The sequence below is a fragment of the Homo sapiens genome, chromosome 6, assembly GCF_000001405.40.
Source record: "Homo sapiens chromosome 6, GRCh38.p14 Primary Assembly".
Classification (NCBI taxonomy): domain Eukaryota; kingdom Metazoa; phylum Chordata; class Mammalia; order Primates; family Hominidae; genus Homo; species Homo sapiens.
In genome coordinates this window covers 11,479,020-11,495,497 of record NC_000006.12, presented here as the reverse complement: position 1 = coordinate 11,495,497, position 16,478 = coordinate 11,479,020, and the positions used below count along the sequence as shown (strand labels likewise).

Sequence of the window (16,478 nt, the reverse complement as noted above, 5' to 3'; positions counted from 1 at the left end):
CTTGAACTCTGAAGAGCTGATTTTCTGAGGGTATCCTACAACTTTGACTCCACCCATACCCTAGCTGACCTGTCATCTTGCTAATTAACCACAAGAACTGAGGGAGAAAGTAAGGTGTGATCAGCTCAAGTAAGGCGTGATCAGCTCAAACCCTATCTATCTTATGCTGGGACTAACACAAAAGAAAGCCAAACACAATTATATGGTAAATCAGTAGAATCATGTTCCTACCTAACGTGTGTCTGTCAGGGATGAGACTGATTCCCATGCTTAACTTATGGCCCTGTCTCATCACTTTGTGCTCATAGAATGTATACGTGACATATTTTTCTTTGACACACTAGTACTGGCAAAGGCTGTCTTCTTTGGCTTAACCACAAATTGTGGAGCATGAGAGCCTCAGAACATCTCCAATCTCTCCCAGCTAGTTTCGGAAATTCCCAGGGACAATTGTGCACATGCTCTCGAGAAGTTCCCCTGGATCCTCAAAACAGCCTTGTGAATCCACAGTAGCTATGGTGACAAGCCTGCTGCAACTCTTTAGAGGGTACTTGGCTGGGTCCCACAGTCACTGATACTGACAGCAGGATTTTCGGGTCACTACTAAGCACTTCCCACAAATGGCCATGACCTCATTCCATGCACTTGGTAGCCTGTCAGTGCAGTGGCTAGAGTGTGATGAGGTAGGCAGGGAGGCAGCCTCTGTCCCTGTGACTATTATCCTCCATTGCTAGGCTGTCTTCTTGGGGCTCATCTCCTTAGGGTCCTTTATCATGTCTATGAGGGCCTGTTCAGGCATACAGCAGTATGAGCAGCCATTCGTACTACCCAGTCTCTCCAAAAATGACGAAAAACCATGTTTTGTGGCCCAGATCTGTATACTCTACCTGGGGATGACTTCTTCCTCATAAGGCATTCACTCCTCAGGCAAATAACATACCATGGTAAGCCCACCCTATTGCCCTTGCACCTCCGATGCACCCACATTAGCAGGCTCAGCCCATGCTAGTTCCCAAACTGACCTTGGATTGTTCAAGCAACTTTAAACCCAAACCTACAAAGCTGGTGTGCAGCTCACAGTTTGATGACTATGTAAATTACATCCTGAAATGTCTCTACTAAACATGTGACTGGACACATCTGAATTTACAATGGGCACACGGCATCTTGGTTTCATAGGTGAAAGACTCTGAATAAGTACCTTTTTGGCAATAGTTCAATCTGAAGTGGATTAAGGCAAGATTTAGAATCTTTAAGCAGGGTAGTACTTTTTTCAAACGGGCATGTTTCCAAGGGATGGAGTCACTGGATGGAGTTTCCCAGCATGGCAGCCCTTCTCTGGTGGAGGCAGCTTGCTGAGATCAGGAGGGATGTTCAAAGCAGAAGCCGGCTCGAAGGTTCCGCTCATTTTTATAACAAATTAGCATAGTTCACACCCTCCCCCTCTACATGCCAATGTTAGAATGATCTCATAGGCAGGCCAACTCCACCCTTTTCTGTACCTCTAGACTTCCATTCAACTCATAGAGCTATGCCTTCTTCCTGTACTTTTGCCAAACCAGGCCTTGCAAAATTATTCCATCAGTCATGGGTGCTAATGAACTGGATCAGAAATTGACCACCTGGATACAGAGAGTTTACTCAAGGATACCGGAGTCATCTTTTCCTTACCTGGCCCCTTTGCTCACATTAGTTCTCTCGTCTCTTTAAAACAGTAATCAAACTGGCCGGGCACGGTGGCTCACGCCTGTAATCCCAGCATTTTGGGAGGCCGAGGCCAGTGGATCACCTGATGTCAGGAGTTCAAGACCAGCCTGGTCAATATGGTGAAACCCCATCTCTACTAACACAAAAATTAGCCAGGCGTGGTGGCATGCGCCTGTAGTCTGAGCTACTCGGGAGGCTGAGGAGAAGAACCACTTGCACCTGGGAGGCAGAGGCTGCAGTGAGCCGAGATTGTGCCGTTGCACTCCAGCCTGGGCGACAGAGCGAGACTCCGTCTCAAAAAAAAAAAAAAAAAAACACAGTAACCAAACTTTGCTTCACTGTGGTTTGGTAAAGTGGAGCAGGTGTCTACCAGTTTTTCATGCAACCTGCCCAAATGGCCCTTTCAAACTCTAATGGTGTGAGAAGCTCAGCTCTGGTAGGGGAGTGTACATTTGGTATTTCTCCCCTGCTGCTTACAAGTTCAAATGCTCTGTGCACTGACAGCAGCAGGAGGAGGAAAAGTTAAACATGGTGATGTTTACTAGAGGAATCTGTCCTCTGTAGTTGTAATTAAGAGGTTTGCTAGACCATATGGGACTGCTGACCAAGTACTAAAGCAGCTATGTCAAACACAACACCAGTGGTTTTATTTACAGCCAGGAAACCAGTGTGTTTCACGTGCTATCCCAACAGGGACCATCTCCACATCTTTAAAGAACAATGTGCCGATAAAAGAAGTAGAACGAAGGATTGCAGCCCCCCCAGCCCCCCTGAGCCTCTCTGCCTTCTGGTGACAGAAGCATTTTAATCGTCACCACCTGTAGAAAATGTTCTCTTCCTGGTTGCCTAACCCGGAGATCCAGCAGTTGGAATTCCAGACAGGAATTCTATAGTGTGGGATGGAGAAGTATTTGGAGATGATGTGGTCGCAGTTATCTCTCAAGTTATTCTGGAGAGGCCATTTTCTCTCTTCCTATACTTGTGTTGCCCTATTCCCAGTTTTACTTCACAATGTTTTGAGGCATGTCTATGAGGCCCCAATCCTACACCCACGTAATCTCTCTCTACACTGCCTTTCTCTCCCTAACCCTGCGGCTACAGCTCCCCACACCAGTAGGCTCAGCCCACACTAGTTCCCAAACCAACCTGGGATTGCGTAAGCAACTTTAAACCTAAACCTACAAATCTACTGTGAAACTCAGAGTTTGATGACCGTGCAATGACCCCAGTTCCTGGCTGCCATGTTACATCCTGAACCCTTACTACAGATTTAACTGGGATGGGATATCCCCGAGGTATCCATCAGGATCCAGCATCCATAATAATAGTTGCTCTCCATGGGGAATTTCTGCTAAAAGCAATCCTCTAATCCTGACAACAGAGACTTTCACCATCTTTGTCTTAAAAGATGAGGATGCAGGGGCCTGAAAGAGGCTATGTAACTTCCCCAAGTCAGTGTCAAGCTGGGACTGGAAGATGAGTATTCTAAAAATTATACACTGTGAGCTGTGATTCAGCCTCGAGGGACTCTACTTGCAACCACTGTCTGGTCTTCCAGTTTGAAACTTGTTCTGAGCTTCCTCTTCTACCTGAGTCTCCAACCAGGTTCCTCCTTGAAAACTGAGTTAGCTAGGTGACCAGGACCCTGTACCCCAGGTTCATCTCACCTGGCTTTCTATCGTTCACCAGAATTTCTTACTGCAATGTTCCCCTTCTCTTGGGACACATGACTGCTTAACATAGGCTTTTAATGTGTGGCTCCTTGTCTGTGAGAGTTGGGAGCAAAGTAGGCCACGGGCATGAGGAAGGCGATATTGTAGCAGCCTTGCTATCAGGGTCAACATGGTGCAGGCAGGCATTCGGTCCTCTGCAGCCCTGTAGGGCTGCAATGCGTACCCTCAATGACTCTCAGCACACACGTGTGCACACACCACACACACAACCCGATACACACATGCACACACTCCACACACACACACACACTCAAACATACCACACACACCACACACACAACCCGATACACACATGCACACACTCCACACACACACACTCAAACATACCACACACACAACCCGATACATATCACATACACACACTCCACACACACACACCACACACACAACCCAATACACATCACATGCACACACTCCACACACACTCACACAAACATACCACACACACCACACAACCCAATATACACACACATATACACACCACATATACACCACACAACCACATACACACCACACACATCATACACACACCACCCTAACACACCATACACACACAACCCTAATGCAGCAGCAAGTTGGAGGACAGAAAGACACATACATATACACACCACACACATATACACACCACACACACAAAACCCTACACACATCACACAAATATACATATACACATCACACACACACCATATACATACACAACCCTACACACATCACAAACCTATGCATACATACACATACCATATATACCCACACACACAACCACATACACAGCACACACACAACACATCATACACACACAACACATACACACGACCCTACATACATCACACACACATGCACATATCACATATGCACCGCACACACCATACACATACACATCACACACACGACTCTATACACATCACACACATAAATACACATATACACACCACATACGTACCACACACAACATACACAGCACACAGCACATGCATCATACAAACACATACACACACATACCACATACATAGCATATACGCTACACACACATACACACATGCTATGCACGCACATAGACACACACACACCCTTTCTTCCTAGATTCCCAAGTCTTACACTGCACCGCCACCTCTCCTGACAGGCATAGAGGGCTGACTGTATTGAAGCCCGGCTGCAATGAAAAAACCTGGTTCCCTTGGTGGCTGTGACAACAGCATCATCAGGCATCTAACCAAGGCAAGTGCTGCAGTCGATGTTCCCGAGTATTCCTCTCTAGATATAAGCTCCTTTGCTTCTGAAGCAATCTCAAAACTCCTTTACAGTCTGGTTCAACAAATTCCCACACTTGTACAATGTTTAGTCCATAAGTACTGAACATCAAAGCCAACAGAAAACCCTAGGCGTAGGTCTGTCTATTCAGAGATTATCTCAGTTGACAGCAAGTGAATTGACCCATCCAAACCACTGGGTTCCATGACAAATTCTTCTCCAGTACCTAATATCTTCGGGATAACGCATTCATTCGCTGAACAACTCTTTGCTGATTGCCGGTGTTAGGTCACTGAGGGAGACACACATCTATGACTCATGTGACCTCAGCCCTCCAGGACCTACCTTCCAGTTTGCTGGGTGTCATAGCAGATGCAGTAGGCAGACTGCTCGGACCAGCTCCACATCCATCCTCCATTCACAAGAAAGGCTTCTTGCTGTGAGTATCTGCAATTCTCTGCTGGGGGGATTTTCTTTACTGGCCAAGTGTGCCTGCCCTGAATGCAGGACAAAATGGAAATGCTCAAGAATGATTTTCCCTGGAATCCCTCAAATAAATAATGGGCAAGGCATTGGTGAATACACATTGGAGCCTCCCTGACCTTGGCTGGGATAACTTTGTTCCACATTGCCTCCAGTGGGATTGAGGTCTAGTCCTCCATATCAGTAACTGAACTGATAATTCATCCTTAATTGATTTTCTTTGCCTCCCACTTTTACTAACCCCCTCCTCCACTGATGATTACTGGGATCACCTCTCAGCTAAACTACTCAGATTTGAATCCTTGTCTCAGAATCAGCTTTCAGAGGAACCCCGACTAATTAAAGGGCTAAAATACATGTATAGATAGTTATAATTCTAGAAGAAATGAGGTAGATGACATTAGAGTGCTTTATTTAAAATCCTGTAAGAGTTCACAGGAAGAGTAAATTACTTTGAGTTCGGAAATTAGAAAAGACTTCTTGGAGGACAGTCCTTAAATGGGGAGTAGGATTTGGGTGTTCAGTGATGGAGCAAAAGACACTCTGAGTGGGGTTGGGTAAGTGGAGGCATGACAGCAGGAATTGAGTATGGCATGTTTGAAAACAGTTCAGTCTTACAGAAGCATTTTATAAAGGAAAACAGCAGCAGAGGAGCCAGGTAAAGATAGATTTTAAATCCTAATGCCAAGGTCAGAAATGTTTATCAAGCTATCTAGCACAGCTCTATCCAATACAAATTTCCAGAATGATGGAACTGTTCTAACAATGAGTTGTTCAAAATGGAGGCCACTAGATACAGGTGGCTATTAAGCATTTGAAATATGGCTAGTGCCACTAAGAAACTGAATTTTTAATTTAATTTAATTTAATTTAATTTTAACGAACTTAAGTAGTCAAATGGCCAAGGACTGCTATTTTGGACAGTAGATTTCCGGGCAATGCAATATGACAGGATCAGAAATATGCTTCAGGATAAGTAATCAGAGAACTGACTCTAAGATCATATGGGAGGTGATCTGAAGATAGAGACCGATGATGAGGCAGAATCAATAACTGGGTAAGTGTCGTTTCTTATTAAAGTTGAAAATGAAAATATTTTCTTCAAATAAAAAAACAAACACATAAATAAAACAGATGAAAGTGGAGCTAACCTTGCTAAAATGAGGAGAAGTCCTTGAGGAATCTCCCTGGAAATCCCAAAAGCTGCTCAGAACTCAGCTCATTAACCACTAGGCCAAGTCAAAGGTGGTGAAGAGTTCTACCAAGGTAATAAAAATGAAGAGGAGGAATAAATCTGGGAGACGTGATAGAAGTGAAGTTAATCTCTCTTAGCAACTAATTACGTATAAGAAGTAAGCCTTGAATATCTGCACATTTATTCTCTTATTCACCTAAGCCCAAACCCTGGTGTTATCCAAAATTCTTCCCCATTACTCAGTCATCACAAATATATTCTTCCCCATTACTCAATCGTCACAAATATACGAGGTGAACAAGAATAAAGCTTATTGAACAAAATTAACATACACAGTGTGACATAGATAGTATTGAGAAAAATCAGGACTCACATCCAGGTTCATTGATGAAAGGCTTTCCCTAGGGTTTCCTGCCCACCCCCAGGATAATGCAGTCATAGGAGCCAAGGTAGGGGCCTTTACAAGTAGGGTTGTCAATCAATAGTTTTAAACACAGCAGCAAGTTGGGGGAGAGAAAGACAAATGGATATTAAAGTTGGGAGTTAATTTCAGTTAGAGTTAAGGGAAAGAAGGTAGGCTCTCAGATGTCAGACTGCTAGGATTTCAGGGATATGGTAAACAAATGAAGTATAAAAAAAGTGAAGATGCAAAAGTGAAGGCAATGAATATAAACTACTCTTTAGCTCTTTGGTAAATGGAAGAAAAGGATGGAATACCCTGGGAATACTCAGCAACCTGCTTGCTGACTTGCATTTTCTTCGTCTGTGAAATCTTAAAGTATCAAGAACACCCAATGTCTTTTCTTTTTTCTTTTTTTTTGAGACAGTTTCTCTCTTGTTGCCCAGGCTGGAGTGCAGTGGTGCAATCTCGGCTCACTGCAACCTCCGCCTCCCAGGTTCAAGCAATTCTCCTGCCTCAGCCCCCTGAGTAGCTGGGATTACAGGCATGTGCCACCACATCCAGCTAATTTTGTACTTTTAGTAGAGAGAGGGTCTCTCCATGTTGGCCAGGCTGGTCTCAAACTCCCGACCTCAGGTTATCTGCCCACCTCGGCCTCCCAAAGTGCTGGGATTACAAGCAAGAGCCACCGCGCCTGGCCAACCCAATGTCTCTTCAAAGAAAGTCCTTGGTCATCTGTCACTTTACTTAGAACTAAGTGGCCTCATCATCAGATTGATAGGACCAGAGGTAAACCACTGAGGGAGCCATCTCTTTTAGGCTTACTTGTGAGAATGGAACAGCCTGGTAGAAGAGCTCTTCCCAATAGAGGCAGGGTGCACTGATGGCCAATTGCCCAGGGAACTCGCCCTCCCCGTCAAGGAGTTGGAACCCCCCAAAGACACCAGAGAGTTGCAGGTAGCAGCAGGGAAGGTAGAGGCAGAGACATAAATGGGGGATCACTTTGTCTCCTCCAGTCACCTGAAGCAGAGAACAATAAATTTATTCCCTGAAGAAACAAGATGACCAGATGCGTGGAGCTTCATGGTGTCTTGAAGGATGTTGCATTCTCCGCAAAGCTTTGCTGAAAGTGGTTGAGATCTTGTCTTCCTTATCTTCTCTTGCATCCTTATGAAAAAAACAGAACACAACATCTGTCTTTTGCATCTGAAAGAACATAGCCAAGGCATGGGATAGTCCTGAAGACAGTGAGGCGAAAGTCTTGATGCCCTTCAAAAAGTAATCCTAGAAAATTCTCATAGGGCAAGCCTCTTTCAAAAGATTCTCTAATGGCCATAGGTGCAATGGTCTCATTTTTGAGAAAGTACAGAAATTTTAGGTTTACTCACAGACTCTGGAATAGTGCCCTCTGCCCTACAGAATAGCTTTAACAAACAAATAAACAAACAAACAAACCAGAGTCTTGCTCTGACACCCAGGCTGGAGTGCAGTGGTGTGATCATAGCTCACTGCAGCCTTGAACTCCTGGGGTACTACAGACCCACACGTCACCATGAGCAATCCTCCTGCCTCAGCCTCCCACAGTTCCGGGATTACAGGGATAAGCCTCCATGCTGGGCTTGGAATGGCTTTATTTTAAAGAGACCAAGGTTACAGATAGCTGAAAAGTACAACTTCAGTCCTTTGCAATCTTTTCTAAACATAGCAGGCTGAATCTTCCCTTTTAGTACTGGAAAGATAAATTAATGAAAAGTCAGTACTTGAAAGAGAAAAAAAAATCCAATGACTCTGGAACGGAAAGCAACCTTGGAGATTATTATCTGAAGTGTATCTCTTCCAAAATTTATATGTGGAAGTCCTAACCCCCAGTTCTTCAGAATGTGACTGTATTTGGAGATGGGGTCTTTAAAGAGGGAATTAAGGTAAAATGAGTTCATGCAGTGGGCCGAAATCCAACCCGACTGGTGTCCTTATAAGAAGAGAAGATGAGGACATAGACATAACAAAGGGAAGACTGTGTGAGGACACAGGGAGAAGATGTCATCTGCAAGCCACGGAGAAAAGCCTCAGGAGAAACCAGCCCTATCAAAGCCTTGAGTGAGGAAATAAATTTCTGTTACTTAGGCTGCGCAGTGTACAGTACTGTGTTACCGCGGCCCGGGCAGGCAGAGAGCATGCAGCCTAAACTTTTCACTTCACTCTTGAAGAATGTGAGTTCAGAATCACACTGCATGTATTAGCACTAAGTGCAAGCCTCAAGGGTCTCCAATCTCAGCCTAGAGGCCTTCCCACTTACCATACCCCTGACAAAGGATGCGGTTTTCCAGAAAGGAGAGAGGATGATAGAGAGAGCAAAGACACAGGGACATTATCTTAGTTAATCATGAGAAAAGAATGGATGGGAAAATGACTCCCTGATCCCACAGCTTCATATAAAAGCCTGAGACTCTTGGGCTACCTTCTTCTTAATGACTTCTGCTTGTTTTGCATTCTTATGCTCACCCCTAGCTTTGTTCCTAGCTGGGGCAAATGACTGGTTGCAAACATTCCAAAGTGACTTCAGTATGAATTTTAACTATGTGAAGCCAAGTTGGACGAATGGACCTAAACTTAACCAAGAAGGTCTTATTCTTTCCTTTGGTGTTTGTATCTCTGATCTGTTGATTCTCTTCCAGCACCTGCTTTCATGAGAGAAATCCAGGGCCGCTGGGAAATTTATGAGGGGATGTGCGTTTAAGTATTTACAATTACATTTTATTTTAGATTTGGTTTCTGTTGTTTTTTTGCAGCAAATTTTTCTTAGTTTTTTTTTTTTTTTTTCAACACTGTGTCCTCAGAATGTCAAACTAATTTTCTCTGTCAATCCTCTGTTCGTTTCAGATGACAAGCTTTCAAAAGCACAGCTCTTTTAGTTTTAGGGAAACTTAAAGCCTCATTGTCTTGGGGCCTTCCTGTCCCCCGCTATACTGTTGTTGTTGTTGTATCCCAGGGTGTCCTAAATCTCTGATTTCCACCCCCCTGAGTGGTTGTCTTCCATGTATTTTATTTAGAGATAAGGCCAAGCCTTTGAGTTTGAATGAAGCATGGCTAACTGAGCTTAGTTTGTTGGGAAGTATCTCTGGATCATCCTGATGTCCCAAAGGAAGGAGAAAATGGCCAGACACTATTTCGGCCTCTGTCAAAAAACTCATCATTTTCCCCATGATGCTATGGGTGAAATTCAAGCTTCTCCTCTTCGTTTCCATGGATTCATGTAATTGACACAATGCCAGGCATTGTGCTGTGAGTCTGGTAGCTTGTGACCTAGATTCTGCCTGTCACAGATACCAATACATGCAACGGAGACCACCAATCCAGTCTGCACAAATTATCTGTGGTTATTATGCTCGTGAACACTATAGATCAGAGCTCTGGTGGCCATAAATTGTGCTTCATATTCACTCTTAGTAAATGAGAATCATAAGAATGAGTAACACAAAGGTAGTGCTCACTTAAAAACAGGATCCAAAGCAAAACATTCTAACCAAGGCTTTTACGTTGGAACAATAAAATAGTTTCACTGCCAGGAAGGATGCATTATAGAACAAAATACTGCCTTTAATTGGTGGGTTCTCTTTTCTTTTTCTTTTGAAACACAACTTTAGAGCATGTTTTAATTTAAGTTATAGCCCCTGAAAAATTTTCTCAGTTATAAAATTATCAGCAAGTGATACATGAGTTAAATAATACAAGCTTTTCAAATTAGCTATTTAATAATAATCAATGAGTGCACTTTTTTCCAGCTAGAAATAGGTATTCTTCATTACTGAATTTCTTTTATACCACTATACCAAGACAGGAAAACAGTCCCCCTCCACCTAATTTCTTATTAATCTATGGGTTTCTGCCCCAATAAAGTGAAGCTATCAATTAAACCAAGAAACTACCTTCCTCAGGTTTTATTAATCACAGGCCTTAAGGGAAAGACAGGCAGAGTTCCTGTTGCTTCTATCTGCAATCACTCAAGCTACTTTTGGAGAACTTTCTTCAATGCATGGCTCAACTTCTTGGAACGCTGGAGAGCATTCAGGAAAAGAGAGCAAGTGATAAATAGTTTGGAAATGAAGATCAAAAAGAAAGCATTAGGAGAACTGGGAATGTTTAGTCTAGAGAGAGGGAGAATGAGTAGAGACGTATTTTTTCTTACTGTCATAAACAGGACAAAAGCAATTCTTTTTCACAAAGGGTAGGGAAATAAGAACAAGTGAAAATAAGCATAAGCAAGGAATTTGACTTCTTTTTTTTTGAGATGGAGTTTCACTCTTGTTATCCAGGCTGGAGTGCAATGGCACAATCTTGGCTCACCACAACCTCCGCCTCCCGGGTTCAAGCGATTCTCCCTCCTCAGCCTTCCGAGTAGCTGGGATTACAGGCATGAGCCACCCCGCCCGGCTAATTTTGTATTTTTAGTACAGACGGGGTTTCTCCATGTTGGACAGGCTGGTCTTGAACTCCCAACCTCAGGTGATCCTCCAGCCTCGGCCTTCCAAAGTCCTGGGATTACAGGCATGAGCCACCGTGCCCAGCCTGATTTTTAATTAATATAATATCTTCCTTTAAAAAATAATGGAATGCTTAGAAACTTGGGAAATTATCCTGGAATAGCTTCAGAATGCTATTCTGCAGGTCAATCTAAAGGTGAAGATATAGCGATATCTATCAAGGGGAGTGGAGAATTAATGTCATCCATATAACACAGAGTCAAGAATACTTTGCACGGAGAATTGCAGTAATGACAGTGTTTACTTCTAACATTCATCACACATGGATCAAATGCCTTTTCAGGCCGGACACTGAAGCATTCGTGATCACAAGCACTGTGTGCTCACCACATGGGTACTTTCTATGTGCCTTACACACAAGTTAGTCCTTGCCACAGCCATGTGAAGTAGATGCCATTCTTTCCCTACTTTTGCAAATAAGGATACTGAGGCCGAAAAGAGTTTAATTATTTGCCCAACGTCACACATTGAGGTTACAAATAAAAGAGCCAGGATTTGAACCTGTGTCCTCTGAGAAGGAAACACCAAGACGAGATGAGAGGTGCATGAGCTTTATTGGGAGCCACACCCATGGAGGATAAAGGGAGCAGAAACAGGAGGAGGGGGCTGAAGAAGGCTTCAGACTGAGATTCAGGTGTGAAATCTGTGAAAGGAGAGAGGGAAGAAAAGACTGGGTAGGAAGAGTCTCAGATGACTTCACAGATCTGAGAACGTCTTGACCGGGCCCATGGATGGAGAATCCGGTGAATGGTGGAAACTTGCATCAAGCAAGAATGGTCTAGTTTAGAACCTTCACATTGTTCACTTCTTGGCTGGGAGCAGCCTAGAAGTTTGGGTTGCCATGAATGCTCTGGTGAGGGGCAAAGCAGCATTTGGGGTCTCGGTCTCTTAGTAGGTTCTTATGGAGGGAGGTCTGAGTGGGGCAACACAGAATCCAAGATATCTGGCACAAAGCCATGCTTTTAATCATTCTGGTGGGCTTTTTTCTGTGGGCCACATCCTTTAATGGTGTGTAGTGAGGGATGTAACCCTGTGGTTATGAAAGGTCTAGGTAGTAAAAGGGGATGCTTCATTACAAAGCTCTACGGGGCCCTGTTCACATAGCATACAGCGTCTGCAGTGCCCACTGAGTCCAGCAAGCGGTGACCGGTAGTGAAGAGCTGGATCATAATCTTCCAATCCAAACATACTTGTAAGTTTTGCTCTGGGACACCTTCATCGCATAAACTCTCATAAAACTTCTCAGCCAATTTTTAAATATTTATGCAGCACTTACTAAACACAAAGCCTATCTTAAGTGCAGTGGGAAATACTGTACGAAGACCTAAAAACCTCAACCCTTCCCTCCAGTGGTTTATCCAGTAGGGAAGATGTCACTTCTATAAATAACCAGAGACATTTGAGGACAAGGAAATCACCACATCGGGTACAGATATGGTGCTGAGGAAGTTTAGGGATTAGAGGGCCTACTTCCTGTTGGAAAGATTAGGGAAGATTTCATAAAGGAAAAAAGCAATGATATAGGTTCCTCAAATGCAAATATGGTGCCTGGGACAAGCAATATTTCATGAAATGGTAGGAGGAAACATAAGGCTGTCACTGATGTAGGAAGCCAAACATTAAATGACAATATCATGATTATCATATGTATAAGAAATCTCTCTTTTAAAAGTTCAGACCCCAAGGGAGCTAGAAATCTATTCATCTGTTTCAGTAAATGCAGAAACAAAGGGATTTGCTTTCTCTCTCTAGTCATTTCTTAGGGCCATGATAACAAATTACCACAGAAAGAGTGGCTTAAGGCAACAGAAACTTGCCAGGCGCAGTGGCTCACACCTGTAATCCTAGCACTTTGGGAGGCCAAGGCGGGTGGATCACTTGAGGTCAGGAGTTCAAGACCAGCCTGGCCAACATGGTGAAACCCCTTCTCTAGTAAAAAATACAAAAATGAGCTGGCGTGGTGGCGGGCCCCTGTCATCCCAGCTACTCGGGAGGCTGAGGCAGGACAATACCTTGATCCTGGGAGGAGGTTGCAGTGAGCCAAGTTCATGCCACTGCACTCCAGCCTGGGTGACAAGAGTGAGACTCTGTCTCCAAAAAAACCCAGAAACTTGTCTCACATGCTGGAGGCTGGAAATCCAAGATCAAGATGTTGGCAGGGCCATGTTCCTCTAAAGCCTACAGGGAAGGACCTTTCTCTGCCTCTTACAGTTTCTGGGTAGTCCCAGATGTTCCTTGACTTGGAGAAGTGTCTCTCCAATCTTTGCCCACATCTCAATATGATGTTTTGGTGTGTCTGTATCTCCATGTGGCCATGTTCCTTCTGTGTATTTGTCTATTTGTAAGGACACCAGACCTGTTGGATTAAGGACTCACCCTAATCCAGTGTGACCTAATTCTAACTAACAACAACTGCACTGTGCCTACGTATGTATTTATTTATTTACTTATTTTTGAGATGGAGTTTCACTCTTGTGGCCCAGGCTGAAGTGCAATGGCACGATCTCGGCTCACTGCAACCTCCACCTCCTGGGTTCAAGCCATTCTCCTGTCTCAGCCTCCCAAGTAGCTGGGATTACAGGTGCCCACCACCACACCTGGCTAACTGTTCTGTTTGTATTTTTAGTAGAGATGGGGTTTCACCATGTTGGCCAGGCTGGTCTCAAACTCCTGACCTCAGGTGATGCACCCACCTCAGCCTCCCAGAGTGCTGGGATTACCAGTGTGAGCCATGGTGCCCGGACACTGTGCCTATTTCTGAATAGGATCCCATTCTGTGGTTCAGGGGCTTAGGAGTTCAACATATCTTTTTTGGGGTACACAGTCTGACTCATAACCTTATCCTATTAATTAAACTCTGGCACCATTCTTTGCTGTTTTATGAAATTTAATTTTGCACGAGCAACAGTTTGTTCTTTGGAGTTCCTAGGTACTGAGATGCCTGCAAGGAACACAGGCTTAAAGCCCTTCATCTTCATATCACTAAATTAGTGTACATCTCTATACACTACAATATTGAGACTTCTGAACAAAGTTTTAGAAAAATAAAAATAGTTTTCAGACATTTGACAAAAACAGACATCATCATTGCTTCTTGGTCTTCCCGAACCAGTCTGGACTCACACTCAAACACTCTGTGATTGTTTGCTATAGTTTCAGAGCAGATTCTTCATGTAGAAATATCCAAGGTAAGAGTTGAGGTGCTGTTTCAGGTCATAAGAATCTGTCCTGTCTTTCCTGAGAAACAGAAACAACAAGATGTCCTTTCCTACTCCAGGCAGATGGCGGATACTAGGAATAAGGTCTAGATGCAACTTGGGACAGGCCAATAAACTTGCTTAAAGATGAAGTTATCCACTTTTGACAGATTGTTATTTCCCAACGATTGCCACAGAAAAGCATATCCCATCCCACATGCTCTGTTTATAATGTGAGGCTGGCACTCCTCCATTGAGAAGTGGGAGTTTAAATCCCCCCTCTTGAATATGGGCAGGGTTTAGTGACTAGCTGCTAATCGACAGAATGTCCTGGAAAGAAAGCTAGGGAACTTGCAAGGCAAGGTCATAAAAGCTGATATGGTTTCTGCCTCGTTTTTCTGTCTCCCTTTTCCTCCCACTCCTTCTCCCTGCCCATTTCCCTCTGTTCTCCCCACTCCTCTTTTTCTCTGTCTCTCCCTATCTCTCTCCCAACGCACTCACCTTTGGAGCTCAGGCACAAGTAGAGGCCACACATGGGTATGTGACCCAAATCCAACTACCTTCTTGGCCATCAGCCAGTGTCAGGCTCCCAACAAAGACATGAAGGAGCCTTCAGATTATTCCAGCTGAGCCCCTCGACATTAGGAAGCAGAGATAAGATGTCTGCTTTGTGTTCTGTATACATTCCTGTCCACAGAATCCATGGACTTAATAAGTGGTTGCTTTATGCTACCAGGTTTTGGAGTAACTATTACATAGCCATAGTCACTGGAATATCATATATCCAGCAAAATAACAAGTTGTGAAGCTAGTTTCTTAGGTGTCATATTTGCTGATGTTTCTAGAATGTTCTCCTGACATCTGAGAAAGATAAGCTTTTAGAAGCAAAGGGGAAGGAGCAATAATGCTTAAATGACCTTAAAACCTAAGAAGTTTCAGGCTGTCAACATGAAAAAGCATTTCATACAGATGCCTCTCCCCACAGGTTCCCACGGCCTGGCTACTGCTTCTTAATCTGTGGTGGTCCAGGCAAGCGCTTAATGCCCTTGAAATGAATTAATAACAGTTTCATCTCAGGTAACCACATGTGGAATATTTATTAATCATCTTTACAAAGAGTGTAGCTTGCTAAAAACATGACTCTAATTTGGGGGATTTTAAACTTGTTGGGGTAGCTAACATACTCTGTCTTCCTGTTAAGAAAAAGTGTTCTTTTTCCTTCACTCACTCCTTTCTTCCATTTCCACACCATCCTCCTTAGTTCCTTTTATTTATTTATTTATTTATTTTTTGAGCGGTTTCTATCTGCATACAAAAAGCAAAGATAAGTGAACAAAAGCTAAGGGGGAAGGAATGAACTTATTTTCTATTAAAGTTGGTGTTAATGTGTTTTTGAGTTTATAAATCACTTATTTGTGGACCTTAGAATTTGCCTCCTTTTCTACCTGGGTGTTATTGAATTTTTCAGTTGAAATAACACATTCATCTCAACCTTTCATTTGAAATGTATAAAACCTCCTAATTAAGTGCAATGATGCATTAACATGGAATTCAACAGTTCCTTTTAAATCATGATCTCGACATCTACAAGGTCACCACCACTAATGCACTGTAGAATGATAAATTTTTAAAAGTGAATAAGAACTCAGAGGTTATCTAATTAACCCCTTTATTTACTAGCCACCAAAGTGAAGTTATTTGCCCAAGATTAGAAGTTTGAAGCTGTCTTTAAACTCTGTATCTATCTAGTTCCCATCATCTTATGCATCGGTCTTTGGGAAGCTCATGGAGACAAATGCCTTGTTAGAAAGTTTGAGTTCAGATCTTAAGATTGAGAACAGTGACATTCTGATGGTTGTGGTGGAACGTTGGAGGGAGACCAGAGATAGGACAGAAAATATAACAGTCTGACTACTTACCATTTTCTGTAGTAGTGTCTAATCCTGGAATTCATTTTAACATCATAGTTATGCT

The 16,478-nt window shown here is 43.3% G+C and overlaps 1 long non-coding RNA gene across 5 annotated transcripts in view, besides 1 other annotated feature; it reads right to left on the bottom strand.

Annotated features, from left to right (window-relative positions):
* Positions 1 to 16,478, bottom strand: part of LOC105374928 (uncharacterized) — a 106,762-nt gene that overhangs the window by 28,627 nt on the left and 61,657 nt on the right. For 4 of the 5 annotated variants that reach the window (NR_187827.1, NR_187825.1, NR_187826.1 and 1 more), the window contains one exon: positions 14,177 to 14,544. This is a non-coding gene — a long non-coding RNA (uncharacterized LOC105374928). Of the gene's footprint in view, positions 1 to 5,033; positions 5,186 to 7,786; positions 7,934 to 14,176; positions 14,545 to 16,478 lie in introns of those variants that run through there. The other variant, NR_187824.1, reaches the window with a different exon arrangement.
* Positions 3,374 to 3,493: an enhancer, noted in NCBI's record as "active region_23988". NCBI's record gives its function as "activates an Ori minimal core promoter by ATAC-STARR-seq in GM12878 lymphoblastoid cells {active_cell/tissue: GM12878}" and the evidence as "EXISTENCE:reporter gene assay evidence [ECO:0000049][PMID:35858748]".